Source organism: Homo sapiens, chromosome 14, assembly GCF_000001405.40.
Source record: "Homo sapiens chromosome 14, GRCh38.p14 Primary Assembly".
Classification (NCBI taxonomy): domain Eukaryota; kingdom Metazoa; phylum Chordata; class Mammalia; order Primates; family Hominidae; genus Homo; species Homo sapiens.
In genome coordinates, this window is record NC_000014.9 from 105,627,395 (window position 1) to 105,655,281 (window position 27,887).

Here is a 27,887-nt window from a genome sequence, read left to right on the forward strand (position 1 = left end):
GGGGCCAGCCCTGGGACCCTCCTGGTCTCAAGCACACGTTCCCCCTGCAGCCACACCTGCCCCTGCCTGAGAGCCCAGCCCTGAGCCCTGGAATGCCTTCCCTTCTCCATCCCAGCTCGCCCTTGCCAACTGCTCAGTGGGATGGACTCACACTCCCTTCCCGGCACCAGGAGGCTGCACTGCACTTTCACCAGCTCTCAGCTGTCTGCTGCCGGCAACTACCCAGCTCCTGCCAAAGTCTAGGAGCTGAGTGATGCCTCCCACCAGCCCTGCTCACCTGTGGCTGCCTTGCCCTGAGCTCTAGTGCCTGTCCCCTGCTCGTCCTGCCTCCCACCGGCCCTGCTGACCTGCGGCGGCTCTGCCCTGGTCCCCTGACCTCCAGGAGCTGCCCCTTGCTCCTCCTGCCCCCCACCGGCCCTTTTCACCTGAGGCTGCTCTGCCCCGGTCGCCTGAGCTCCAGGAGGTGCCCCCTGCTCCTCCTGCCCCCCACCTGCCCCTGCTCACCTGCGGCGGCTCTGCCCTGGTCCCCTGAGCTCCAGGAGCTGTCCCCTGCTCTGCAACCTCCCACTGGCCCTGCTCACCTTCTGATGCTCTCCCCTGTTTCCTGAGTTCCAGGAGCCGCCCCCTGTTCATCCTGCCTCCCACCTGCCCCTCCTCCCCTGTGGCTGCTCTGCCCTGGTCCTCTGAGCTCCAAGAGCTGCCCCCTACTCCTTCTGCCCCCCACCTGCCCCTGCTCACCTGTGGCTGCTCTGCCCTGGTCCCCTGAGCTCCAAGAGCTGCCCCCTGCTCCTCCTGCCCCCCCACCTGCCCCTGCTCACCTGCGGCGTCTCTGCCCTGGTCCCCTGAGCTCCAAGAGCTGCCCCCTGCTCCTCCTGCCCCCCCTCCCCTCTCCTGTTTGCCTGTGGCTGCTCTGCCCTGGTCCCCTGAGTTCCAGGAGCTGCCCCCTGCTCCTTCTACCCCCACCTGCCCTGCTCACCTGTGGCTGCTCGGTCCTGGTACCCTGAACTCCAATGCCTGCCCCCTGCTCACTCTGTCCTCCCTCAACCCGGGGCAGCAATGTCACTCAGGCCACTGTTGCCCCCCTGCCTGTCCTGGCACCCTCTGTCCAGGTTTGGGCTGTTTTTCTGGCCTCATTTTTGTTTTTGCAGCACTTGGCTTGTTCCCTATGCTGTGGAGCAGCCCCAGTGTCCAGTCAGGTCTCCCCAACAGAGCCCCTTGCCTATGTGCCCCTCCTGGATGAGCTCCCGGATCCTCCCGTCCCTGCACTGCTCCTGCTCTGGAAGCCTCTCCGGAACCTCAGCTCCTCAGTGGCCTCTGCTCTGCTGGGCCTCAGCCCCTCCCCTCGCCCCAGGCCTGCTGCACTCTGGGCCTTTCTGGGCCTCCCTGGACTCTTCCCTCCTCCCGCCCGTGCACTCAGCACAGCTCTCCCCTCCTCTCCGCTGCTGACCACAGCCCTGCTCCCCGCCAGCAGGTGCCCCAGCCCCATCAGCTGGCTCTGAGCCCAGCCCCTGTCCCTCCCCTGTCCCTGCCTCTGCCTCTGGGCTCCTTGGCTTCCACCCTTCTGTCCTGCTGCCACACTCACCCTCGCTGCTCTGCTCCCGGCTCACCTGCTGTCCTTGGTCCTGGCTGAGAGGAGGGCCCTACGGCCAGCTCTGCTGACCCTGCCCTGGGCTCTGGTGATGCTGCCGGCCTGGACAAGCCCCTCCGTTCACCTGGGGCCTCTCCTCCTCCCTCGCTCTGCTGCCTCCTGAGCTCAGGTCGGTCGTGCCCATCCTGGCATCACCCCACAGCCGGTTCTGCCGCATCCCGTCATGTTCCTCGTGCTCCCAGCCCGGTCGTCCTGGAGGCCTCAGTCAGCCTCTGGTGTGTCCTGCCCTGTTGGCTTGGAAGCCCCTGCCCACGGTCCCCGTCGTCTCGCACTGGGTGGGCATCAGTGCCTGAAGGCTGCCCACCTCCCCCGTGCTGGCTCCGCTTGGGCTTCCATGTGGGGCTGGCCTCGCGCCCGCGTCTCCCCAGCCTCTTGCAGCCTGTTCAGCAGCTCAGGTCTAGGAGCGCCGACGGCTGCGCCCAGGCTGTCCTCCTCCCGAGCCTGTGCCCCTGCCCTGTGCTGACCCCACTCACCGAGGTGGGGGTCTCAACCCTTCCTGTTCTGGCGAGGTACATGTGGGCGGCCCCGCCCCCGCCGTCAGCCGCTATTTGTCTTCCTAGGAAATCACAGCTCAGGTCCCAGGTCCCCAGGGGTGTGAACTCCACGCTGCAAAGACTAAGAACAGGATTGAAACCAGCGGCACCCCTTACTTCCTGAAGTTCCCTTTTCTTCTGGTGGTTTCTGTGTCAGAGGGCGAGGGGGAGTCCACACAGAGCCGAGGCTGCCTCATGGGTGTGTGGGGATGGGGGTGGTGGCTGCCCCCATACTCCCCCATACTCACGGGAGAAGGTGGGGAGCCCGGACCTTGTGTGCTGCTCTTTTCTCTGTCTCTGAGTCCCTGGGGCTGGACTGAGACTGGCAGCGATTATGACCATTCTGCCCATGGTCTCAGCCTCTCAATACCTGGGCCTCTCACCTGAAGCTTCTGGCCCCCCACTGGGCCCTGGTGGCTGCTTTGGCCTGGGCATCTCTCCAGCTGACTCTCACTCATGGTGGAGGGAGGGGAGTGTGAGTTCATCCCACTGAGCAGCTGGCAAAGGCGAGCTGGGATGGAGAAGGGAAGACGTTCCAAGGCTCAGGTCTGAGCTCACAGGCAGGGGCAGGTCTGGCTGCAGGGAGAACGTGTGCTTGAGACCAGGAGGGTCCCAGGGCTGGCCGAGTGGACCCTGCACAGGAAGGCCTCTGAGGCTGGTGCTCCAGAAGGAACAAGATGGGCTGCCAGGAACCAGGGCCACCAGCTGTGCTCCTGGGGGCCGAGGGGACTTGGGACAGGTGGATGAACACACTGAAGCTGAGTGGAGGTGGTGCAGGGCAGTGTAGCAGCAGAGGGGAGCCAGAGGGGCCCATTCAGGGCCTGGGCAGAGTTGGCCAGAGCCTATCGTGCAGGTGAGGGGAAGGGGTAAGGGGCAGGGCCCTGGGGCTGAGCAGAGGGGATAGCCTGGCTAGGGACAGGACACTTAACTTCCTCAGAGGTCAGGGGCACACCCGAGTTGCAGTGGGACTCCAGGGCCACTGGGCCAGCAGTAGAGAGAGAAATGGGGCCTCCCTGGGGCCTGGGGATGCTGGCATCATGCAGGGTGGGGAGGTCCAAGGGCAGGTGCTAGGCTCCTACCTGTGCTGGGGGAGCCTGGACTGAGCTCATCAGGGACCTTGCCAGGTGGAAACTCTGGAGAGAGAGAGGAGCTGGGCAAGGACGGATGTGGAGGTGGGAGGTAGCGGGGGACGAGATGCAGCCAGAGGGACTGGGCAGACCAAAAGCCCGAGGAGGTTTCGCACAGGAAGCATCCAGAGTGGAACAGGAAGCATGCAGAGTGGAACAGGAAATGTCCAGCATGGAACAGGAAGCATCCAGAATGGAACAGGGAGCATCCAGAGTGGAACAGGAAATGTCCAGCATGGAACAGGAAGCATCCAGCATGGAACAGGAAACATCAAGCGTGGAACAGGAAGCGTCCAGCGTGGAACAGGAAGCGTCCAGCGTGGAACAGGAAGTGTCCAGCGTGGACCAGGAAGCATCCAGAATGGGCACTTTGAAGGGAAATCATGTCCCTCCCACTAAATGTGCTCTCCACAAGGACCCGGCCCACCCTTGTGTCCCTGCTGGATCCCTGAGCTGACACCAGCCCTGCCCTCAGAGAGAATGTCCAGGAGACAGGTGGAGGTGCACGTGTGGGTCCCTGGGGAAATCCATCCTCCAGCCGCAGGCTCCCAGTCGGCTCCCAGCTTCTGGCTCCGGCTTCACCCCATGGAGCTCATAATGGGCTCAACCTCCCAGGCTGGGGGAGGATGCAGTGAGGGGCCCCGCACTGCCCATGGCACACCCAGGGGGCTGGGGAGTCTGCACTGGGCTGGGGCAGGGAGGCCTCGTGCAGCCTGTGGGGCTGGCAGCTCAGGACAACACTCGTATCCGTTAACTGTGGCCCTGGCAACACAGCACCCCAGACTGCGTGGCTTAAACAACAGACGTTTATTCCGTCCTGGTTCTGGAGGCCGGGCATCTGGGATGGAGGCCTCGGCGGGGCTGGCACCTCTGTGTCATGGGAGACTCTGTCCCAGGCTCTCTCCTTGCTGCTGGGCTTTGCCGGCCGTCTCTGCTGCTCTTGGCTTATGGAAGCAGCACCATCTTCACAGGGTGTTCTCCCCACGTGCTGTCTGTACCCAGATTCCCCCTTTTCATGAGGACAGCAGTCATATTGGATCAGAGGCTTGCCCTACTCCAGGGTGACCTCATCTGAACTTGATTGCAGTTGCAAAGACTGTTTCCAAACAAGGTCACATTCTGTGGTCCTGGGGGTTAGGACTTCAACACATGAATTTATAGGGGACACATTTTAACCCACAACAGTTTGCCCTCCGCTCCCCCCATAATCATGTCCTTCTCACATGCAAAATCCCTGCACCCCATAGCAACATCTCCAAGATGGCTAACCCCTTCCAGCACCAACTCTTAGTCCACAATCTCAGAGGAATATCACCTGCATCAAGTGTGGGAGAAACCACAGCAGGGGTGGCGAGCCTCCTGCCCCCTCTGGCCCAGGTGGGGCTGTGTGCACTGTGTGGGTGTGCCTGGGGATCCACTTGCCCCCCCATCTATCTGCTCATTTTCCCCAGGCTGTGGGCATTTGGGGCAGAGGCCTCAGTGCCTGGCCTGCTCTCTCCCGGTTCTATCCAATGCCTGTGCTGGGCTGGAGGGGCCGGGCAGGGTGGGCCCCCAGGAAGGAGGATGGGTCACCTGTTGCTCCCATAAGCCCAGGTCCAGTCCCAGCTGGGGATCCATCTCTGGCCTCTGCCAGCCTTGAAATCCCCCAGTCCTCTGTGTCTCCCTCCTGGGGCCCACCAGGCCTGCTCAGCTCTGAGTCCCATGTCCATTCTCACCCTGCTCTGAAAAATGATGTTTTTCATTTCAGAATCATACTTTCAGTTCTAGAATTTTCATTTGGTTCTTGTAAATATTTTCCGTCTCTTATAGAGATTCCCCATCTAGTCACTCATTATAATAGTATTTTCCTTTAAGTCTTTGAACATGTTTAACATAACTTCTTTAAAGTCCTTGTCTGATAACTGTATCTGCATCTAGGTCATCTTGGAGTTGATCTCCATTGATCCCTTTTTCTTCTGACTATGGATCACATTTTCATGTTTCTTTGCATCCATGGTAATTTTGGATGTGCACCTGATGTTGATAACATGCGTACAGGCTATGGGGTTTGCATTCTTTCTTAGCAGAGCATTAATTGTTTTTTTCAATGTTAGCAGTTAGCTTGAGTTGACTCAAACTCCCAAGTCTGTCTGCCTGGCAGTTGGCAGTAGCTGGAATCTCAGTTCTCTCGACTTACAGGTGTTGCTTTCTGCTGGGCCCTTTGGAGTTTTCCCTACCCATGCACACCTAAGGGATCGGCCAGAGGTTTCAGTGGAGTTTACTTGCAGATTGTGTGGTTTCCCTTCGGTGAGCTTCTCCTTTATGGACATCTTCTCTTCATTTCCAGCTGCTCTGAAAATGCAGCCCTGCATCCCACTCCTCACCAGGAGGGCTGCAGTTTCCTGCTTAAACTCTAGCTGCACCCATTACATGCACTGGGGTGTGACTTCAGACGAATATTTCACGGAATAATCCTTACTAGTGTTTGCCTACTTCTGGTCATGTTCCAGTGCCTGCAATTGGTGTGTGTGGGTGTTGTGTGTGCTTACAGTGTTTCCAGTGTTTATAATTGCCATCTGCCAAAGGGCTAGTCTGATATTAGCTGCTCTAGCATTACTGGAATCAGAACTACTTTCTCTCATGTGGTTTTTCATTTTCATTTCCCTGTTGACTAGTGTGGTTCAACACCTTTTCATATGTTTAGTGGCTATTTGGATATCTTCTGTAAAACATCTGTTCAATTCTCTTGCCTATTCCTCGTTGGATTATTTGATTTTTTTTCTCATTGGTTTACAGGGGTCTTCTTTATATTATGGATCTGTTTCTGTCAGTCAGTTATATATGTTTATAGGAAACATTGAGAAAAATTAGTAGGTGCCTTCCATGGAAAGCAAGGCATCGTCTTGTACACTCTTCCAGGTTATTTCATTCTGTGGAGCTCTGCATCTTTTATTTCCTTTGAACTATTTTACACCTCTATAAGCCAGGGGTCCCCAATCCCTGGGTCATGCACTGGAACCGGTTCATGGCCTGTTAGGAACTGGGCCACAGAGCAGGAGGTGAGGGGTGTGTGAGCATTCCTGCCCGAGCTCCACCTCCTGTCAGATCAGTGGCAGCATTAGATTCTCACAGGAGCGAACCCTATTGCGAGCCGCACATTCCCGGGATCTAAGTTGCACACTCCTTATGACACCCTAATGCCTAATGATCTGAGGTGGAACAGCTTTGTCCCCAAGCCATCCCCCGATCCTGGTCTGTGGAAAAATTGTCTTCCATGGAACTGGTTCCTGGTGCCAAAAATGTTGGGGACCACTGCTCTAAGTTGTACATAATTGATAGCAATGCAAAAGCTCTTTGAGTTGGTAGAAATTCAAGTTCTCATCTTTGGAAGGACAATGAATTGCTCCTCATCTTCCAGGGAAAAGGCCAGTTTTGCATCTATCTATGAACTCCTTTTAGCATTCCTGAATCAATTATGTAAGTGTAGTACTTAGAATTCCACTTTGAACTGGTTACGACACCTTAATTAATGAGATAAAGAGCATCTCTGAAATGTGTCGTCATATGGTTATGTGAGTCCTGATCATAACAGTTTTAGAAAATGATCTTTTAACTCGTTGTGATTTCTTCTCCCCCACGGCCCCACCCAGCCGCAGTATCCACGGAGCTTAGTTTTCTGTGGCCCAGGAGGGCAGGAGACCCGGTGTTGACGGGGAGATCTGAGATTGGCCCCAACTTTTCCCCACAGCTCTGCTTCAAGGAGTGCCCTGGGAAGGCCTCCCAACCCCACACCTGTCCTGTTGGCCAAGGCGAGCTCCATGCCATGTGGCATCTCTGCTGCTGGCCACCTGGCGAGTATCTGTTGAATAGAGAAATGTGCAGCATCTCCACAGAGCTTCCAGGGCTACTGTGCTCTCCAAACATCTCTGGGCTCCTGGCACCCTCTCAGGGTATGATGTGTTGGTGGCTGGGTTGGGCCCCTGTCCCTGAGGGTAGGACTCAGGCAAGGACAAAGCTCTGGACTCAAAGAGCTGGTGTGGGGGTGAGTGAAAGGAACAGGAGCTTTGGGGTCAGAAATGCGGGTTTCAGCCTGCATTGTCCCCATGAGCAGGGGCTGCAGACTCACCAAGACCTCAGTTTCTACCATGGTGAGAGAGTGTCAGAGACTGCAGCACGTATTTGAAAAGCGTCCAGGGACGGCAGGGGTCTGGGTTGGACCAGCTCTCCTGAATACTGAGGGTGTGATCTTGACCATTGTGAAAGGAAAATAAAATCTCAGGACCCTAAAGTCACTATGCCAAAAAGAACAGTTGAGGTGGGAAGCTGAGTCATGAAAAAAAAAAAAAAAGTCATGCGTTTCCTTTTGTTTCCAAACTGAGAGCAGCAGCAGATAGGCCAGGTCTACCCAGGTGGCCTCCCTCACCCTGACAATATAAATTAACAGCCCGGTCTTCATGACATGGGACAAAATGAGACAAGAAATCATCCCTCCTGCCCCTGAGACGAATGCATATTTGACTTCTTCCTCTACTCTGTTTATTTGCTTATAAAGTGCAGATTTACTGAGCACAAGGCAAATGTGTAATTGCTCCCTCCACCCCTCCTTTTCATGCAACGTGGGGGCTCAGTGAGATGTAATCAAAGCCTCAGAAGAATGTGACCCTCCCCTCTTGCTTTTTTCTCTTTCATCTTTACCCTCCTCCAGCTTTTCCCCTTTTCAATATTGAAGCAGGACGTAGTGTGACTGCATCTGGGGTCAGGTGTGGGGTGGTCCACGTGGACAGTGAGGAACGTGGTCCCTGCCCGTGGTGGTCCGGGTTTCCTGGGAGATGGCCAGACTTGGGTGCTGAGGGGAAGAGGCCGGTGCAGTCACTGGACGGGAGAGAGCATGTCCATTGTGCTGAGTGGGCTGGGAGGGATCCACAGAGAAGACGGTGTGGCTCAATAGCTAGCACCGGGGACGAGTACGTGGGTGACGGGCCTGGCACATGGACTAGCTCAAGGCGTGAGGTTGTGACCTGCCCAGGGAGCCTATGCCTGAGTGTGCTGGGTGGGTGCTGGGTTCGCAAGCATTTGTGTGCCTGTGAGGCCCGTGTGTGTATGTGTGTGTCACGTGTCCCCCATGCGTGGCAGGCATCGTCGCGTGGCCCCCATGTGTGGCAGGCATCGTCGCGTGGCCCCCATGTGTGGCAGGCATCGTTGCGTGGCCCCCATGTGTGGCAGGCATTGTCGCGTGGCCCCCGTTCGTGGCAGGCATGTGCAGCCTGAGTACCATGCCAGATGGGGTGTTCTGTCTTCTCCAGGCCTGGCCCTGCCGTGTGAGCAGGGAGCTTCCCCATGGGACTGATGTTCTGTCTCCTCCAGGCCTGGCTCTGTCCTGCCATGTTAGCAGTGACCTTGGCCATGGGAGTGGTGGGCACAGGCGTGGCTGTGCCAGGCTTTGCTGGCTGGGCTTGGTGGGGGCACCATACCCCTTGCTGAGTGTGGGTAGCAGAGGGTTCGAGGTGCCCTCTGGGAGGTGGTCGGGCAGAGGCAGGGTTGGGAGCGTGTGGGGAGATGGGTGTTCAGCTAGGCTCCTTCCCTGTGGAGGGGCTCAGCTGAAACCTGGGCTCTCAGTCCCCTCACACCTGCCTCCCCAGCATCCTCCCTCTGCCCCTCTCTTCAGCCTGCCTTGGGCCTTGCTCTGAGACCGCTGCTGAGAGGACCGGAGGAGCTTCAGCAGCACCCTGTGCTGGGCGGACGCCGAGGTCACAGCCTCGCTCTGTCTCCTCACAAGGCCACGTGGTGGCAGGTCCTTCCTCCTGTCTAACCAGAGTCCTGCTTGCTGCTCTGCAAGCCCACTTGGGTCACGTGGGGCAGGGGCACCTGGAAGGGTGGGCTTCGTGGACTCAAGGGCCACCAATTCCTCCAGGTCAACATGCTCAGATGGTTCCATTCTCCCCCTTCCCTTGGCCACAGAGACCTCTGTATCCTGGGGTGACCACAAATGTCACAACACAAGAGTCACACCAGAAATGTCACACCATGTCACACTGTGGGGAAAAGAAAGATCAGACTGTTACTGTGCCTATGTAGAAAAGGAACACATAAGAAACTCCATTTTGATCTGTACAAAGAAAAATTGTTCTGCTTTGAGATGCTGTTAACCTGTAACTTTAGCCCCAACCCTGTGCTCACAGAAACATGTGCTGCATGGAATCAAGGTTTAATCACACCCCATCACACCAGGGATGTCCCACACCATCACACCACATCACATCATGTCACACCACCCACATCACACTATGTCACAGCCTGTTACATCACATCACACCAGGGACGTCACACCCTGTCCCATCACATCACATCATGTCACACCATTCCACATCATTTCATATTATACCTCATCAAGCCAGGGATGTCATACCCATCACACTACGTCACACCAAATCACACCAGGGATGTTACATCTGTCGCATCACATCACACTATGTCCAACACCACCTCACACCAGGGACATCACACCATGTCACACCACATCCCACCATGTCACACCACATCACACCAGGGATGTCACACTGTGATAGGACATCACACCATGTCACACGATGTCATGTTACATCACAGCATGGGCTGCTGGGGGGTGTGCAGGGGCAGCCTTGCTGGAGAGTTGAGGGAGGGTCCTGGGGCTGGGCATGGTGTTCCCGCAGGAGGGCTGACCCTCTGGAGGATGCTCGGTCCCAGGTAGAAAGTGGGAGGTGGGCCCCGGGTGGCTCAGGGAGGGGCCCAATTTCCCCAGGGGAACCTGGTCCAGGCGCCAGGCCCTGCAGGGGGCAGCAGCTGCAGGAAGCATCTGCTTCTTCCCAACTCAGCCTGCTCAGTGCACGGAATGACCCGGAGCCCGGCACCGTCCTGGGTTTCCTTTCCTTATCCTGGCCAGGCCGTCCATCCTCAGACAGTGGACTGGAGCCCACCCCACCAGAGCACCTGGAGGCCCGTAGGGCCCCTTGAAGGGCAGAGGGTGGAGATCTCTCCAGCAGGGTCCCTGAGGGCTGGCACCTTCTCTGGACAAAGCTCTCCTGCATCTCTGGGACGCCATCCTTGGGCTTGGGATAGAGCCGGTGATGCAGCAGCTGCCCGCCCTGCACCCCAGGTGCTCTCTCCCTCACCCCCCGCGGGGCTGCAGCAGCGTGTCCTGAGAGTTAAAGGGCTGGGCTTCAGCACCCAGTTCAGGCCAGGCCCCCTGGAGCGCACCCTCCAGTGGCGAGCCTTCCCACGGCATGGCAGGGCCTGGAGTCTGGGGATTTAGTCCCCAACTCTGTGTTTGGTGAAGCTCCAGCTGCTCGATGCCACACAAACGAATCCAACCACTCCTCCTTCCTGGGTGAGATGGTCTCTCTCCTGCCACAGGCAACTCCGACGGCATTTCGCAGCCACCGCAGCCACCGCAGCCACTGCAGTAACAAGACCCTGTCCTTGACTGAGTTCCAGCCAGGCTCCTCGGAGCCTCTCCACTCGGCCTCAACCTTGGCTTGTAAAGACTTGAGCAGACACTAACAGTTTCTAACAGCTTCTGGCCGTACCCCTAGGCCGACCCCTGCCCCGTCAACACCTGCCTGAGAAAGCTCCGTGCACCAGAACTCACCGTTTGGACCAACCCCGACCTCCCTTTCTCAGGGTATCTGCTGAGAGGGCCGCAACCACACGACCTTCTATCCGTTCCCGATGTCTGTGCATTTCCTGTGACCCAGGAGGGTCTTTCTCGGGACCTGAGAGCCACTCCCTGAAGTGTCCCCATTGGGAAGGATGGGGCCTGTGTCTCCAGGCTCTGGGAGGACAGAATCCTGACCTCAACAGTGGCCGGCACAGACACAGCGGGTCCCATCCCGGGGACGCTGACCAGCGCTGGGCAACTTTTCCCTTCCCCGACGACTGAGCCCCGAGCACCCTCCCTGCTCCCCCTACCACCTCCCTTTACAAGGCTGTGGCCTCTGCACAGATGAAGGTGAGTCCAGGTCATGCCGGACTCTTTCTTCTGTTGCAATAGTTATTTCTGTTGAAAATCCGTCCTTGCTACATGACCTAGTGCCCAGGGGGATGCTGAGACAGGATGAATGTGTTTTGCATGTGAGAAGAACATGAATTTTGGGGGCCAGAGTCTGGACTGTGATGGGTTAAATCGTGGCCCCTACAAATTCATATATTCAAGTCTTAATCCCTGGCCTCACAATGTGACTATTTGGAGATGGGGTCTTTACAGAGGTCATTAAGTTCATAGGGGGTCACTAATCTAATCCGATGTGTGTTCTTATAAGAAGAGAAGCTTAGGACACGGGCACACAGAGGGATGGCCATGTGAGGACCAGGGAGGAGACGGTGTCTACAAGCCAAGGAGAGAGGGCTTGAGAGAAACCAGCCCTGCCTGCATCCTGATCTCAGATTCCTGGTCTCTAGGCCTGGGAGGATCCATGTCTGCTGTGGGAGCCGCCCCGCTGTGGTCCTGAGCTGACTCACACAGATCTGACACCCACCTCTCGCTTCGGACCATGGTTGGTTCTGGAAGGCCCTCCCTGTGGCTCTGCCTGGGCAGCCTGAGCCAGCTCCCAGCCTCGACCCAGCTTTCCCTGGAGGCCCTGTCCCCCGCAGAGTGACCAGGGCAGGCAGCACCGTGCCCAGCAGGAGGAGAAACTGCATCCATGTAGAAAAGAGGAGAAACCCCGGGGGTCCATGTAGCGACAGGGGCCAGGGAGGGTCGCTCGGGCAATGCGTGTGGCTGCAGGAGGCGGGGGGCGTATGCAGGGAGCCCCCGAGGTGCAGCTGGACCAGCCTCCTCCTGACCGTGCTTCCCACCGGGGGCAGGAGGCGCGTGGACACAGGAAGGCGGCTCCCATCACGAAGTACAAGACTTAAAAAGGATATTTTATTGTCATCACAAAAGAAACATCAAAGACAATTAATGAGCTTTAGAAAATTTAAAAGAAGAAGAAAAGCTACCAAAGCTGAAATGGTGGCACCTCCTTCGAGTGAGCCCGGGAGTCCTCCCTGACAGCTGAGGCAGGCGCTGGCCGCACTCCCGCTCGAGTCTCCCTGTCTGCGGATTCTGCGTGACAGTCACGGAACGGCGTGATGGGGGCAGCAGAGCGTGGGGGCCTCTGTCCAGCACTCGTGGCCAGCAGCCCCGCTTTCACAAGAACACGGGCACCCTCTTTGTCGTCTTGCCTCTCCACCTGGTGCCCCCAGAGTGGCTGCTTGTTCCTGCTGCACGTGACCCGGGGCTGGACGCCAGCCTCTGTGATGAGTTCTGGCTGTGTCCACGCTCCTGGCTCTCCCGGTGTCCCTCCACCTCTCTCCCCGATGCTCCTGGGCCTCCTCTGTCCTCAGGCCCCACCAAGGCTGAGTCTTGCCCGCCTGGGACCTGGTCACCAGCCTTCTCTGGGAGGCCTGTCTGGGCAGATGCCCAGCCCTTCCTTGGGCTATCCTCACCCTTGCACCGTGGGGCTCCTGCAGCGGCCACATGGCCCAGGCTCTTCTCCGAGTGATCTCGGTGGACTGGAGTGGGTGGTAGGTGGCAGTGTCCTGGGCCTGGCCCCTTCTCTCCCCAGTGCGGACTCTGGGGCTGGCTGTCCCTGCGGGTCGAGTTCCACCCGAGAATCCAGCAGTGTGGGCAGGCAGCCAAGGGGTGGTGCTGGCACTGAGACTGTTCCCAGGAGCCAGAGAGCAGCGTTCTTTGCTTGAAATCAGAACAACCTCATTCCTCATGTCAGGAGTTCACGGGAGTGCCTGGAATGGAGGCTGGCTGGCTGCGGGCTGGGAGGAAGGCCGTCTGAGTGAGCCTTCGCAGCTCTCGGAAGCCTCCCCAACAGGGCCTGATGGTGCTGTGACTTCCCTACCTTGGCGACTGATGCTCCCACTCACCATCTGGAAACCACGCCTGTGTTCAGGAGGCTGGCGTGGACAGGGTTGGCTCCAGGGCGAGGTCCTGCCTGAGTGGGGGCCTGGGATGCTGGTCACTACCTCCTTTTGTGTGAGCACCTGGCGGGCCGGAGGGCAGGGACGTCCTGCTGAGGGGACACTTGGCCCCCAGCGCCCTGCATGCACCAAGCAGCGGAGGTCTGGGGTAGACCTGCTATGCACAGGGTCTGGAAGGGGGGCGTGTCAGGGTCAGAGGGCGACTGCGAGGCCAGAGAGCCATGGGGTTGAGGGCGGTGAGGTCGGGGGCAGGTGTGGCCTGGGTGATGGCTGAGCATGGCCCACGGCTCCTGTGTGGGGTCTGGGCGGCCCTGGACACCCCACAGAGGGTGGCCCTAGGCCCCCTGCCTGATCATGTTCCTGTAGTCGGGGACGATGGTCTGCTTCAGGTCCACCACTGAGGAGAAGATCCACTTCACCTGTAGGCAAGGCACAGCACAGGGGTGAGCGAGGCCACAGCCCTGCCCCCAAGGCCCGCCCACCCCTCAGGCCACCCAGGTGCCACGGCCTCACCACTGCCTGCTCTGAGGCTTGAACTTGGAGAACAGAGCCAGGTCACCAACAGTATGTGGACAGCACAGACGACAGCATCAGGGACAGGTGGGGACAGTGTGGGGGACAGTGTCAGGGACAGGTGGAGACAGTGGGGGAGAGTGTTGGGGACAGGTGAGGACAGCATGGAGGAAAGTGTGAGGGACAGGGGACAGCATGGGGACAGTGACAGGGAGAGGTGGGGACAGTGTGGAGGACAGCATCAGGGACAGGTGGGGACAGCATGGGGGAGAGTGTCAGGGACAGGTGGAGAGAGTGTGGGGGAGAGTGTTGGGGACAGGTGAGGACAGCTTGGAGGAAAGTGTTGGGACAGGTGGGGGCAGCATGGGCGACAGTGACAGGGAGAGGTGGGGACAGTGTGGAGGACAGTGTCGGGGATAGGGGACAGGAGGAAACTGTGGGGGACATTGTTGGGGATGGGGGGATAGCGTGGGGGACAGTGTTGGGCACAGGTCAAGACAGCGCGGAGGAGAGTGTCCGGGACAGGTGGGGACAGCATGGGGGACAGTGTCAGGGACATGTGGGGACAGCATGGGGACAGTGTGTGACAGCATGGGGGACAATGTCAAGGACAGCTGGGGACAACGTGCGGCCAACCTTGAAGAAGGTGATGGTGGCACTGTAGCACACGCTTAGCAGGAAGAGTGTGATGAAGATGGTGATGGTGGTCCACAGCCCGTCCAGCTCCCCGTCCTGCGCCTCCGCACAGCTCTCCTCCAGTTGCAGCTCTGGACAGGAAGTGGGTGGTCAATACTGTGTCCTGCTGGGCTCGGGCCTCTGGGGGTGATTCCCTCTGTGGCAGGACCCAGGATGTAGGGCCCGGCCGGGATGGGCCAACAGTGTCCTGAGGTCAGCTCCCCACAGCTGCCTGCCCTGGGCACCAGCTTTGGCCCCGGGACTCAGCCAGACACCCAGCCCTAGATAGCGACCTGGCCCTCAGCAGGACCCGCTCCCCATCTCCTGTGTCCCTCCCTGAGGCCCAGAGGGCAGGAGGATGGTGAAGCCCACACCTCATGTGACCTCAGCTGCAGGGAAGGGCGGCATTGGGAAGTGGGCCAGTGCCAGGGACGCGACGTGGCGTGTGTTCCCCTGTGTGTGGGGGCCTGTGTGTGTGTGGCGGCTGCAGGGGCACCTTGTGAGAGGAGGGCTGGGTTTGTCTGAGCAGGTCAGCATGTGGAGAAGCTGCCGAGCGGCTCGTGGGCCTTGAGGTGCCGCGTGGGGCTCGTGGGGGCCTGTGTCTGAGGAGTGTTCACGTGTGCGAGGACCTTGCTCTGGTCTGGGTGCTGTGCGGTTCGCCCGGGTGAGGCTCCGTGTGTGAGGCGTGCACGTGTGTGTGTGGTGGCCGTGTGGCCGGCCAACCTCAGCGCGGGGTTTGTTGAACGGGTCTGGGCTGAGTGTGTGTGTGGGCATCTGGACCAGTCCCTCCACAGGGCCCGAGAGTGCATGTCCCCGGAGTCGGTTGTGTCCCCATGCGGGTGCGAGGCTGGGCAGGGCAGCCAGGGGTTAGTGCCGTGGGGGTAGATGGGTGAGGGAGGGCCTGTCCCTACGCACATGGACTAGGCATGCCCCCGAGTGGGCATGGAGGTCGGAGGACAGGGCGCTCACAGGACAGGACAGTCTCCTACAGAGGCAGGGGCTGTGTGTCTGTCCCCAGGGGCTCCTAGGGCTTCCCGTGGCCCAGCCCAGGGCAGCTGCTGCTGGAGGGAGGGCCACGCTGGCAAATCCCCCACCCTGCCGAGGGCAGCCCCTGGCTGAGCCCCACCCTAGGCGGCCCAGGCACACCTGCACAGCCTGGGCCAGTGTGGGGACAGTGGAACCCGCTCTGCCTCCCTCATGCCACTCAGGCCTCAGACTCGGCCTGACCCACGGAAAGAACCATCACAGTCTCGCAGGGGCCCAGGGCAGCGCTGGGTGCTTTATTTCCATGCTGGGTGCCCGGGAAGTATGTAGACGGGGTACGTGCCAAGCATCCTCGCGCGACCCCGAGAGCCTGGGGAGCGGGGGCTTGCCGGCCGTGGCACTCATTTACCCGGAGACAGGGAGAGGCTCTTCTGTGTGTAGTGGTTGTGCAGAGCCTCATGCATCACGGAGCATGAGAAGACGTTCCCCTGCTGCCACCTGCTCTTGTCCACGGTGAGCTTGCTGTAGAGGAAGAAGGAGCCGTCGGAGTCCAGCATGGGAGGTGTGGTCTTGTAGTTGTTCTCCGGCTGCCCATTGCTCTCCCACTCCACGGAGATGTCGCTGGGGTAGAAGCCTTTGACCAGGCAGGTCAGGCTGACCTGGTTCTTGGTCATCTCCTCCCGGGATGGGGGCAGGGTGTACACCTGTGGTTCTCGGGGCTGCCCTGTAGGGACAGAGGTTGGCACAGCGGTCACTCCCAGGGCAGAGGGTGGGCCGAGCCGGCCTCTGTCCATGTGGCCCTCATACCCCGCGGGTCCCACCTTTGGTTTTGGAGATGGTTTTCTCGATGGGGGCTGGGAGGCCTTTGTTGGAGACCTTGCACTTGTACTCCTTGCCGTTCAGCCAGTCCTGGTGCACGACGGTGAGGACGCTGACCACACGGAACGTGCTGTTGAACTGCTCCTCCCGTGGCTTTGTCTTGGCATTATGCACCTCCACGCCGTCCACGTACCAGTTGAACTGGACCTCGGGGTCTTCGTGGCTCACGTCCACCACCACGCACGTGACCTCAGGGGTCCGGGAGATCATGAGGGTGTCCTTGGGTTTTGGGGGGAAGAGGAAGACTGACGGTCCTGCCACAGGTGGTGCTGAGGAAGAGATGGAGGTGGACGTGTCAGCACCCAGCTGGGGTCTGTCCCTGGATGCAGGCTACTCTAGGGCACCTGTCCCGCCTTGAGCTGGAGGGCGAGGCCTGGGCTGGCTTACCTGGGCACGGTGGGCACTCGACACAACATTTGCGCTCTGCAGAGAGAAGATTGGGAGTTACTCGGATCTGGGAGGAGAGAAGGTGTCCGAGCTGAGGGAGTGGACAGTTTGGCCTTTGGGGTCGGCTTAGGTCAGGGGCAGGGTCCTCCCGGATATGGCTTTTGGCAGGTCTGAGCCAAGCACCTGCCCCTGTGTGTGAAGGGCCTGGGGTAGGGGCACCCAGCCTGTGCCTGCCTGGAGCCTGGTGGAAAAAGCCAGAAGACCCTCTCCCTGAGCATGAGTGGGGCGGGCAGAGGCCTCCGGGTGAGGAGACAGATGGGGCCTGCCTTGCTGCCCTGGGCTGGGGCTGCACAGCCGGGGTGCGTCCAGGCAGGAGGGCTGAGCCTGGCTTCCAGCAGACACCCTCCCTCCCTGAGCTGGCCTCTCACCAACTGTCTTGTCCACCTTGGTGTTGCTGGGCTTGTGATCTACGTTGCAGGTGTAGGTCTGGGTGCCGAAGTTGCTGGAGGGCACGGTCACCACGCTGCTGAGGGAGTAGAGTCCTGAGGACTGTAGGACAGCCGGGAAGGTGTGCACGCCGCTGGTCAGAGCGCCTGAGTTCCACGACACCGTCACCGGTTCGGGGAAGTAGTCCTTGACCAGGCAGCCCAGGGCCGCTGTGCTCTCGGAGGTGCTCCTGGAGCAGGGCGCCAGGGGGAAGACCGATGGGCCCTTGGTGGAGGCTGCAAGAGAGGTGGTGCCATGTGACCGCGGTGTGGGACAGAGCTGGGCCCAGGGCGCAGAGGCCCCTCGGTTCTTGTCTATCTGCGAGGGTCCAGGCAGGGTCCAGTGTCTGGGCTCACGGGCATTGGGTGTGCACCTGGCTGGCGCCACCTGCGTCACCTTAGCCCCCTCCCTGCCCCAAAGCCAAAGTCAGGCCCGGCCTGCCCCAGAAAGCTTGCAGGACCGGTGGCCCTGTGGTGCCCTTCTGCAGGCACCCCTGCAGCCTAGGAGGCGGGGCTCGGCAGCCAGGTCAGCGCTCTGTGCCTGCCGGGAGTCAGCACAGTCCAGGGCCTCTAGCTTGGCCTCAGCTCTGGCCATCGGTGCCACCTCAGGGACGGCTCATGCCCATTGGCCCCACTCCAGCCTTTTATGGGTGCCTGGCTTGACCAGTGGACACTGTTCTCAGATGGCTTCTCGTGGGTCCCCCGAGTCCCCTGAAGCTCCTGACCCTGCCGCCCCAGCGTGGCCCTCCGCTAGTGAGTGGGCCTGACTTGCCCAGGGCCCTGGTCATAGCCTGCCCTCTGCCCTCCAAGGCCCTTTTCTTCTGTGCAGCAGAGGGGCCAGACACTGCATAGGGTCGGCGCCCTTCAGCCCCAGGGCCCCGGAACCCCCTGCCTTGGAATAGCCTCCTGGAGCCTCCTCCTCAGCCTCTCCCCTCCTTTCCCCTTAGCCCCAGTGTGCAGCAGCCCAGGTCAGGGCCCTGAGTGCCTGGATGCCCCCTGCCTCCCAGTGTCCTGCATTACTTCTGGAGGCTCAGTCACCACAACCTCACCCTCCCAGCCCTGGCCTGGCCTTCTCGGCCACCAGCCCACCTCCTCCCTCTCTCCAGAGCTTCCCCCGGCAAGGTCCCTGCTGGGCTCAACCCAGGCCCCCCAGCACAGGTAGGAGCCTTGCACCTGCCCTTGGCCCTCCCCACCCTGCGTGGTGCCAGGACCCCCAGGCCACAGGGAGGCCCCATTTCTCTCTGCCGCTGGCCCAGTGGCCCTGGAGTCCCACTGCAGGTGGGGTGTGCCCCTGACCTCTGAGGAGGCTAAGTGCCCTGCCCTCAGCCAGGCCATCCCCTCTGCTCAGCCCCAGGGCCCCGCTCACCACCCCTTCCCCTCACCTGCACCACAGGCTCTGGCTGACTCTGCCCAGGCCCTGAATGGGCCCCTCTGGCAGCCCTCTGCTGCTACACTGCCCTGCACCACCTCCACTCAGCTTCATTGTGCTGGTGGCCCTGGCTCCTGGCAGCCCATCTTGCTCCTTCTGGGGCGCCAGCCTCAGAGGCCTTCCTGCCTAGGGTCCGCTGGGGCCAGCCCTGGGACCCTCCTGGTCTCAAGCACACATTCCCCCTGCAGCCACACCTGCCCCTGCCTGAGAGCTCAGCCCCGAGCCCTGGAATGCCTTCCCTTCTCCATCCCAGCTCACCCTTGCCAACTGCTCAGTGGGATGGGCTCACACTCCCTTCCTGGCACCAGGAGGCTGCACTGCACTTTCACCAGCCCTCAGCTGTCTGCTGCCAGCAACTACCCAGCTCCTGCCAAAATCTAGGAGCTGAGTGATGCCTCCCACCGGCCCTGCTCACCTGTGGTTGCCTTGCCCTGAGCTCTAGTGCCTGTCCCCTGCTCGTCCTGCCTCCCACCGGCCCTGCTCACCTGTGGCTGCTCTGCTCTGATTCCCTGAGGCTAAGCCTCAGTCCTGCTCACCTTCTGATGCTCTCCTCTGTCCCCTGAGCTCCAGGGGCTGTCCCCTGCTCGTCCTGCCTCCTACCTGCCCCTGCTTACCTGAGGGTGCTCTGCCCTGGTGCTCTGAGCTCCAGGGGCTGTCCCCTGCTCCTCCTGCTTCCTACCAGCCCCTGCTCACCTGTGGCTGCTCTGCCCTGGTCCCCTGAGCTCCAGGGGCTTCCCCCTGCTCTTCCTGCCCCCACCAGCCCCTGTTCACCTTCAGATGCCCTCCCCTGGTCCCCTGAAGTCCCAGAGCTGCCCCCTGTTCCTCCTGCCTCCCACCAGCCCGTGCTCACCTGCCGCTGCTCTGCCCTGGTCCCGAGTTCCAGGGGCTGCACCCTGTTCGCCCACCTCCCACTAGCCATGCTCAGCTCTTGATGCTCTGTCCTGGTCCCCTGAGCTCCAGGAGCTGTCCCCTACTCGTCCTGCCACCCACCAGCCCCTGCTCACCTGAGGCACCTGAGGCTGCTCTGCCCTGGTCCCCTGAGCTCCAGGGTCTTCCCCCTGCTCATCCTGCCTCCCACCTGCCCTTGTTCACCTTCAGTTGCTCTGCCCTGGTCTGCTGAGCTCCAGGAGGTGCCCCCTGCTCCTTCTGCCCCCACCTGCCCTGCTCACCTGTGGCTGCTCGGTCCTGGTACCCTGAACTCCAATGCCTGCCCCCTGCTCACTCTGCCCTCCCTCAACCCGGGCAGCAATGTCACTCAGGTCACTGTTGCCCCCCTGCCTGTCCTGGCACCCTCTGTCCAGGTTTGGGCTGTTTTTCTGGCCTCATTTTTGTTTTTGCAGCACTTGGCTTGTTCCCTATGCTGTGGAGCAGCCCCAGTGTCCAGTCAGGTCTCCCCAACAGAGCCCCTTGCCCTTGCCCATGTGCCCCTCCTGGGTGAGCTCCCAGATCCTCCCGTCCCTGCACTGCTCCTGCTCTGGAAGCCTCTCCAGAACCTCAGCTCCTCAGTGGCCTCTGCTCTGCTGGGTCAGCTCCCTGAACGCACGGAGCCTCACCCCTCCCCTCGCCCCAGGCCTGCTGCACTCTGGGCCTTTCTGGGCCTCCCTGGACTCTTCCCTCCTCCCATCTGTGCACTCAGCACAGCTCTCCCCTCCACTCCGCTGCTGACCACAGCCCTGCTCCCCGCCAGCAGGTGCCCCAGCGCCATCAGGTGGCTCTGAGCCTAGCCCCTGTGCCTCCCCTGTCCCTGCCTCTGCCTCTGGGCTCCTTGGCTTCCACCCTCCTGTCCTGCTGCCACACTCACCCTCCCTGCTCTGCTCCCGGCTCACCTGCTGTCCTTGGTCCTGGCTGAGAGAGGGCCCCACGGCCAGCACTGCTGACCCTGCCCTGGGCTCCAGTGATGCTGCTGGCCTGGACAAGCCCCTCCGTTCACCTGGGGCCTCTCCTCCTCCCTCGTTCTACTGCCTCCTCAGCTCAGGTGGGTCCTGCCCATGCTGGCATCACCCCACGGCCGGCTCTGCCGCATCCCGTCAGGTTCCTCGTGCTCCCAGCCTGGTCGTCATGGAGGCCTCAGTCAGCCTCTGGTGTGTCCTGCCCTGTTGGCTTGGAAGCCCCTGCCCACGGTCCCCGTCATCTTGCACTGGGTGGGCGTTGGTGCCTGAAGGCTGCCCACCTCCCCCGTGCTGGCTCCGCTTGGGTCTCCATGTGGGGCTGGCCTTGCCCCCACGTCTCCCCAGCCTCTTGTAGCCTGTTCAGCAGCTGAGGTCCAGGAGCGCCCACGGCTGCACCCAGGCTCTGTCCTTCTCCTCCCGAGCCTGTGCCCTTGCCCTGTGCTGACCCTACTCACCGAGGTGGGGGTCTCAGCCCTTCCTGTTTTGGCGCGGTACATGTGGGCAGACTTGCCCACGCCGTCAGCTGCTATTTGTCTTCCTAGGAAATCACAGCTCGGCCCTCAGGTCCCCAGGGGTGTGAACTCCACGCTGCAAAGACTAAGAACAGGATTGAAACCGGCGGCACCGCTTACTTCCTGAAGTTCCCTTTTCTTCTGGTGGTTTCTGTGTCACAGGGTAAGGGGGAGTCCAGACACAGCCGAGGCTGCCTCATGGGTGTGTGGGGATGGGGGTGGTGGCTGCCCCCATACTCGTGGGAGAAGGTGGGGAGCCCGGACCTTGTTCACTGCTCTTTTCTCTGTCTCTGAGTCCCTGGGGCTGGACTGATACTGGCAGTGATTATGACCATTCTGCCCGTGGTCTCAGCCTCTCAATACCTGGGCCTCTCACCTGAAGCTTCTGACCCCCACTGGGCCCTGGTGGCTGCTTTGGCCTGGGCGTCTCTCCAGCTGGCTCTCACTCATGGTGCAGGGAGGGGAGTGTGAGTTCATCCCGCTGAGCAGCTGGCAAAGGCGAGCTGGGATGGAGAAGGGAAGGCGTTCCAAGGCTCAGGTCTGAGCTCACAGGCAGGGGCAGGTCTGGCTGCAGGGAGAATGTGTGTGCTTGAGACCAGGAGGGTCCCAGGGCTGGCCGAGTGGACCCTGCACAGGAAGGCTTCTGAGGCTGGTGCTCCAGAAGGAACAAGATGGGCTGCCAGGAGCCAGGGCCACCAGCTGTGCTCCTGGGGGCCGAGGGGACGTGGGACAGGTGGATGAACACACTGAAGCTGAGTGGAGGTGGTGCAGGGCAGTGTAGCAGCAGAGGGGAGCCAGAGGGGCCCATTCAGAGCCTGGGCAGAGTTGGCCAGAGCCTGTGGTGCAGGTGAGGGGAAGGGGTAGGGGGCAGGGCCCTGGGGCTGAGCAGAGGGGATGGCCTCTGCTTAGCTTAGGGCACTTAGCTTCCTCAGAGGCGAGGGGCACACCCGAGTTGCAGTGGCACTCCAGGGCCACTGGACTACAAGCAGAGAGAGAAATGGGGCCTCCCTGGGGCCTGGGGGATGCTGGCATCATGCAGGGTGGGGAGGTCCAAGGGCAGGTGCAAGTCTCCTACCTGTGCTGGGGGAGCCTGGACTGAGATCAGGAGGGACCTTGCCAGGCCGAAGCTCTAGAGAGAGGGAGGAGCTGAGGAAGGACGAACGTGGAAGTGGGAGGTAAGGGGGGATGGTATGAGGCCAGAGGGACTGGGCAGACCAAAAGCCCGAGGAGGTGTCGCACAGGAAGTGTCCAGAATGGAATAGGAAGTGTCCGGAATGGAAAAGGAAGCATCCAGCATGGAACAGGAAGCATCCAGAGTGGAACAAGAAAGGTCCAGCATGGAAAAGGAAGCATCCAGAGTGGAATGGGAAGCGTCCAGAGTGGAACAGGAAGCATCCAGAATGTAACAGGAAGCATCCAGAGTGGAACAGGAAATGTCCAGCATGGAACAGGAAGCATCAAGAATGTAACAGGAAGCATCCAGAGTGGAACAGGAAATGTCCAGCATGGAACAGGAAGCATCCAGAATGTAACAGGAAGCATCCAGAGTGGAACAGGAAATGTCCAGCATGGAACAGGAAGCATCCAGAATGTAACAGGAAGCATCCAGAGTGGAACAGGAAATGTCCAGCATGGAACAGGAAGCATCAAGAATGTAACAGGAAGCATCCAGAGTGGAACAGGAAATGTCCAGCATGGAACAGGAAGCATCCAGAATGTAACAGGAAGCATCCAGCATGGAACAGGAAGCATCCAGAGTGGAACAAGAAACGTCCAGCATGGAACAGGAAGCATCCAGCATGTAACAGGAAGCATCCAGAGTGGAACAAGAAACGTCCAGCATGGAACAGGAAGCATCCAGCATGGAACAGGAAGCATCCAGCATGGAACAGGAAGCATCCAGAGTGGAACAAGAAATGTCCAGCATGGAACAGGAAGCATCCAGAGTGGAATGGGAAGCGTCCAGCGTGGAACAGGAAGCATCCAGAGTGGAACAAGAAACGTCCAGCGTGGAACAGGAAGCGTCCAGCATGGAACGGGAAGCATCCAGAATGTAACAGGAAGCATCCAGCATGGAACAGGAAGCGTCCAGCCTGGAGCAGGAAGCGTCCAGTGTGGAGCAGGAAGTGTCCAGCGCGGAACAGGAAGTGTCCAGCGTGGAAAAGGAAGCATCCAGCGTGGAACAGGAAGCATCCAGAGTGGAACAAGAAACGTCCAGCGTGGAACAGGAAGCGTCCAGCATGGAACGGGAAGCATCCAGAATGTAACGGGAAGCATCCAGCATGGAACAGGAAGCGTCCAGCGTGGAGCAGGAAGCGTCCAGTGTGGAACAGGAAGCATCCAGAGTGGAACAGGAAGCATGCAGAGTGGAACAGGAAATGTCCAGCATGGAACAGGAAGCATCCAGCATGGAACAGGAAGCATCCAGCATGGAACAGGGAGCATCCAGAGTGGAACAGGAAATGTCCAGCATGGAACAGGAAGCATCCAGGATGGAACAGGAAGCATCCAGTGTGGAACAGGAAGCATCCAGAGTGTAACAGGAAACATCCAGCGTGGAACAGGAAGCATCCAGCGTGGAACAGGAAGCATCCAGCGTGGAAGAGGAAGCGTCCAGCATGGAACGGGAAGCGTCCAGAATGGGCACTTTGAAGGGAAATCATGTCCCTCCCACTAAATGTGCTCTCCACAAGGACCCGGCCTGCCCTTGTGACCCTGCTGGATCCCTGAGCTGGCACCAGCCCTGCCCTCAGAGAGAATGTCCAGGAGACAGGTGGAGGTGCACGTGTGGGTCCCTGGGGAAATCCATCCTCCAGCCGCAGGCTCCCAGTCGGCTCCCAGCCTCTCGTTCCAGCTTCACCCCATGGAGCTCATAATGGGCTCAACCTCCCAGGCTGGGGGAGGACGGAGTGAGGGGCCCCCCACTGCCCATGGCACACCCAGGGGGCTGGGGAGTCTGCACTGGGCTGGGGCAGGGAGGCCTCGTGCAGCCTGTGGGGCTGGCAGCTCAGGACAACACTCGTATCCGTTAACTGTGGCCCTGGCAACACTGCACCCCAGACTGCGTGGCTTAAACAACAGACGTTTATTCCGTCCTGGTTCTGGAGGCCGGGCATCTGGGATGGAGGCCTCGGTGGGGCTGGCTCCTCTGTGTCATGGGAGACTCTGTCCCAGGCTCTCTCCTTGCTGCTGGGCTTTGCCGGCCGTCTCTGGTGCTCTTGGCTTATGGAAGCAGCACCATCTTCACAGGGCGTTCTCCCCACGTGCTGTCTGTGCCCAGATTCCCCCTTTTCATGAGGACAGCAGTCATATTGGATCAGAGGCTTGCCCTACTCCAGGGTGACCTCATCTGAACTTGATTGCAGCTGCAAAGACTGTTTCCAGACAAGGTCACATTCTGCGGTCCTGGGGGTTAGGACTTCAACACATGAATTTATAGGGGACACATTTTAACCCATGACAGTTTGCCCTCCGTTCCCCCCATAATCATGTCCTTCTCACACGCAAAATCCCTGCATCCCATAGCAACATCTCCAAGATGGCTAACCCCTTCCAGCACCAACTCTTAGTCCACAATGTCAGAGAAACATCATCTGCATCAAGTGTGAGAGAAACCCAGGGTGAGATTAGGAGAGAAACCACAGCGGGGTGGCGAGCCTCCTGCCCCCTCCGGCCCAGGTGAGGCCGTGTGCACTGTGTGGGTGTGCCTGGGGCTCCACTTGCCCCTCCCATGTACCTGCTCATTTTCCCCAGGCTGTGGGCATTTGGGGCAGGGGCCTCAGTGCCTGGTCGGCTCTCTCCCGGTTCTATCCAATGCCCCAAGCTTGCTGGGCTGGAGGGGCCGGGCAGCGTGGGCCCCCAGGAAGGAGGATGGCTTCCCAGCTGGGGCTCCATCTCTGGCCTCTGCCAGCCTTGAGATCTCCGGTCATCTGTGTCTCCCTCCTGGGGCCCAGCAGGCCTGCTCAGCTCTGAGCCCCATGTCCGTTCTCACCCTGCTCTGCTTTTCCTTGGGGTGCTGGCCCTGCCCTGGCCTCCACAAATGGCCCCTGCCCCCACCCCTTCCTGTCTGAGGGGCTGGGCTGTTCCTCTCCTGCCCGGCGTGTGCCCACCTAGGCCCAATAGGCATAGTGCCCCCAGCCCCTCCTGCCCTCTTCTGGCCTTCACGCCCAGCCATGCCGGCAGCCCGCCTCAGTGGCCTGGGCCTTCACCAGCTCCTGGCTCTGTGTCCAGCTGCCACTCCTGTGGCCCTACGGTGCTGCCCCTTTCCCTCAGTGATGGGGGCTGGGCTTCCTGGGAACGGGCTGTGTCTCAGCTGCACACACCTGTGTGTGTCAGTGTGCGCATGGGAGTGCGTGTGTGTGCTGGGGGTGTGTGCAGGAATGCTTGTGTCTGGGGGCAGGGGGAGCATCTGCCTTCCTGCCCCAGGCCTGGAATGGCCGTGCCAGGGTGGGTGGGAGCAGTGCGTGCGAGGACAGTGCTGCTTTGACGTCTGCGTGTGGCTGGTGTGGGCGGGAGGACGTGGTGTGGCACGAGTCTCGGGCTCCCCATCTCCATCCAGCTGATCCCGGATGGCTGCGCTCCTGAGGGTTTAGAGCAGCCCAGGGGGTCAGGAGGCTGTTGGGACGCTGGAGGCAAGCGCTGGCAGGGATGGGGGTGGGCTGGCCAGGCAGCGTGGCCAGGGGGCTTCGAGCCGGGGCAGTGAACCATCCCCCAACTTTTTAAAGTTTTAAAAGTCATATTTACTCAAGTGTAGTTTACATTCAGTATAATCCATCCTGTGACATGTAAGTTTCAACAAATGCACAGTCATGCAACCACCACCGTAATCCAGATGAACAGTTGCAAGAAGATGTAGAATCTCTCCAAAAATTCCACCAGGCCCCTTTGCAATCAACGCCTCCCTGATGGCTAGGAATCCATTGATCTGCATTCTGTCAGAAGACTCAGAGTTCATCATTAAAATGATCTATTATGGAAAATATTATAAGCATACAAAACACAAAACCAAGTTTTAAAAAGTGAGGTATTTCTTAAAAGTTTAGTATACAAACAAAATGAAGGTACCTTCACATTTTACTACAGATGTGCAGATAGTTTTCTTGGTGCACAGAGATAAGGCAGAATTAAGTCAGAATAAACGTTCTAAAACTGACCTCCGGAAGAACTAGTCTTAGTCATTTCTTTGCAGAGTATGTGAACCAAGATTCGGGTTTGGTCTTTGGTGTTAGCACTGTGTCAAGGATCAGATAGAAAGTACAAATGGAGGGGCCCCTTTCTGAGGCCAGGCCCCACTGTCGGGGCATGTGGGGTGACCAAAGGCCAATACCAGCTGAGGCTAAGAGGCTGCTCTCAGAAAGGTAGGTTTGCAGGTGTCTCTTGAACCCTTTGTTCAGAACCGGGACGTGTGGCTGGGCAGCAGCCTTCAGAATCCCCACAGGCTGGTGCCCGGTGCCCACAGCCCTCTCGGGTTGTCAGGACCCTGCACCCGTGGTGGGGTGCTGGGCTCCAGAGTTCCCTGGGACCAGCTGATCTCTTGTCCTTGGTTTTGGCCCAAATGCAAGCCCCTGGTCTCCTCCAAGTAACTTCCTTTCCCCAGGGCTGTCCAGGCCCCACCGCTGCCTGTTCCTTCCCAGGGCCTCCCGCAAGTCCCGATGCTGACGCCTCTCTGCCCACCTAGTTTGTGGCCGCCGCCTCCAGCTCTGTGTCTGCCTCCCAGCGAGGGAGCCGTGGTTGATGATCTCGTGAGTGTCTGCCCTTCTGAAGGTACAGTGTGAAGTCTCATCAGTCTCACTTCAATGCCTAAGCACCTCTTCAGAAACCAGGGATTCATCCAGGTTTCTCCATCTTTAACCATGTTTTCTAAAAGTTTTCTTGGCAATTTCCTGGCAATTTGCAAGACAGGATTTTTTGGTTGCCAACTTCCAATTAGCTTTAAACTTGCCACGATCTCCCAGGTCATCCCGTCCATCGATGATGCTTATTACATTCTTCCTGATTTCCATGTGGCCAAATTCAATAGTTATTTACCCCAGGCTTGTATTTTGGAGGCTAAAGAACTCTGTTACCAGCTATATCCGTGCTGTGGCTGCCGTAACAAAATATCACAAATGTGGCTTAAAACAACAAAAATTTTTTCAGAGTTCTGGGAGTCAGGAATCTGAGATCAAGGTGTTGGTGGCTGTCTCTGAGTGCTCCAGGGGAGGACCGTCCACCTCTTCCAGCTTCCTGTGGTGCAATAGTTTGGATGTGTGTCTCTCCAAATTTCATGTTGAGATGTGATTCCCAGTGTTGGAGGTGGGCCTGGTGGGAGGTGATTAGATCATGGGGCTGGACCCCTCATGAATGGCCTAGCACCATCTCCCAGGTGATGAGTGAGTTCTCCCTCAGTTAGTCCCTGTGACAGCTGGTTGTTTAAAAGTCTAGGACGTGCCACTTCTCTTCTCTTGCTCCCTCTTGCCATGTGACATGCCTGCTCCCCCTTCGCCTTCTGCCGTGATTGCAATCTCCCTGAGGCCTCGCCAGAAGCAGATGCCAGGGCCGTGTTTCCGGAATGGCTGCAGAACTGTGAGCTAGTTAATCCTCCCTTCCTTGCCACAGTGCCTGGTGCAAACCTCTTTTCTTTATAAATTACCAGATTCATGTTTTTTTTTTTTTTCTAGTAACACAAATAGACTAACTCAGAACATTGGTATTGAGGAGTGGAACATTGCTATAAGGATACCTGAAAATGTGGAAGCAGCTTTGGAATCAGGTAACAGGCAGAGAGGTTAGAAGAATTTGGAGGACTCAGAAGAAGACAGGAAGATGAGGGAAAGTTTGGAATTTCTTAGAGACTATTAAATGGTTGTCACCAAAATGCTGATAGACATATGGACTGTGAAAGCCAGGCTGATGAAATC

General features: G+C 59.1%; 1 non-coding gene, 1 gene segment (V, D, J or C) and 1 further gene; 1 reads left to right on the forward strand and 2 right to left on the reverse strand.

Annotated features, from left to right (window-relative positions):
* The window catches only part of IGH (immunoglobulin heavy locus), a 1,293,408-nt gene that overhangs the window by 40,958 nt on the left and 1,224,563 nt on the right, over nt 1-27,887 (reverse strand).
* On the forward strand, nt 12,774-12,838 carry MIR8071-2 (microRNA 8071-2). The gene has a single exon (NR_107059.1). It is a non-coding gene; the product is annotated as a microRNA 8071-2 (primary transcript).
* Nucleotides 15,809-17,395, reverse strand: IGHG2 (immunoglobulin heavy constant gamma 2 (G2m marker)). The segment is given in 4 exon segments: nt 15,809-16,131; nt 16,229-16,555; nt 16,674-16,709; nt 17,102-17,395. Coding segments are annotated over 4 exon segments (980 nt in total).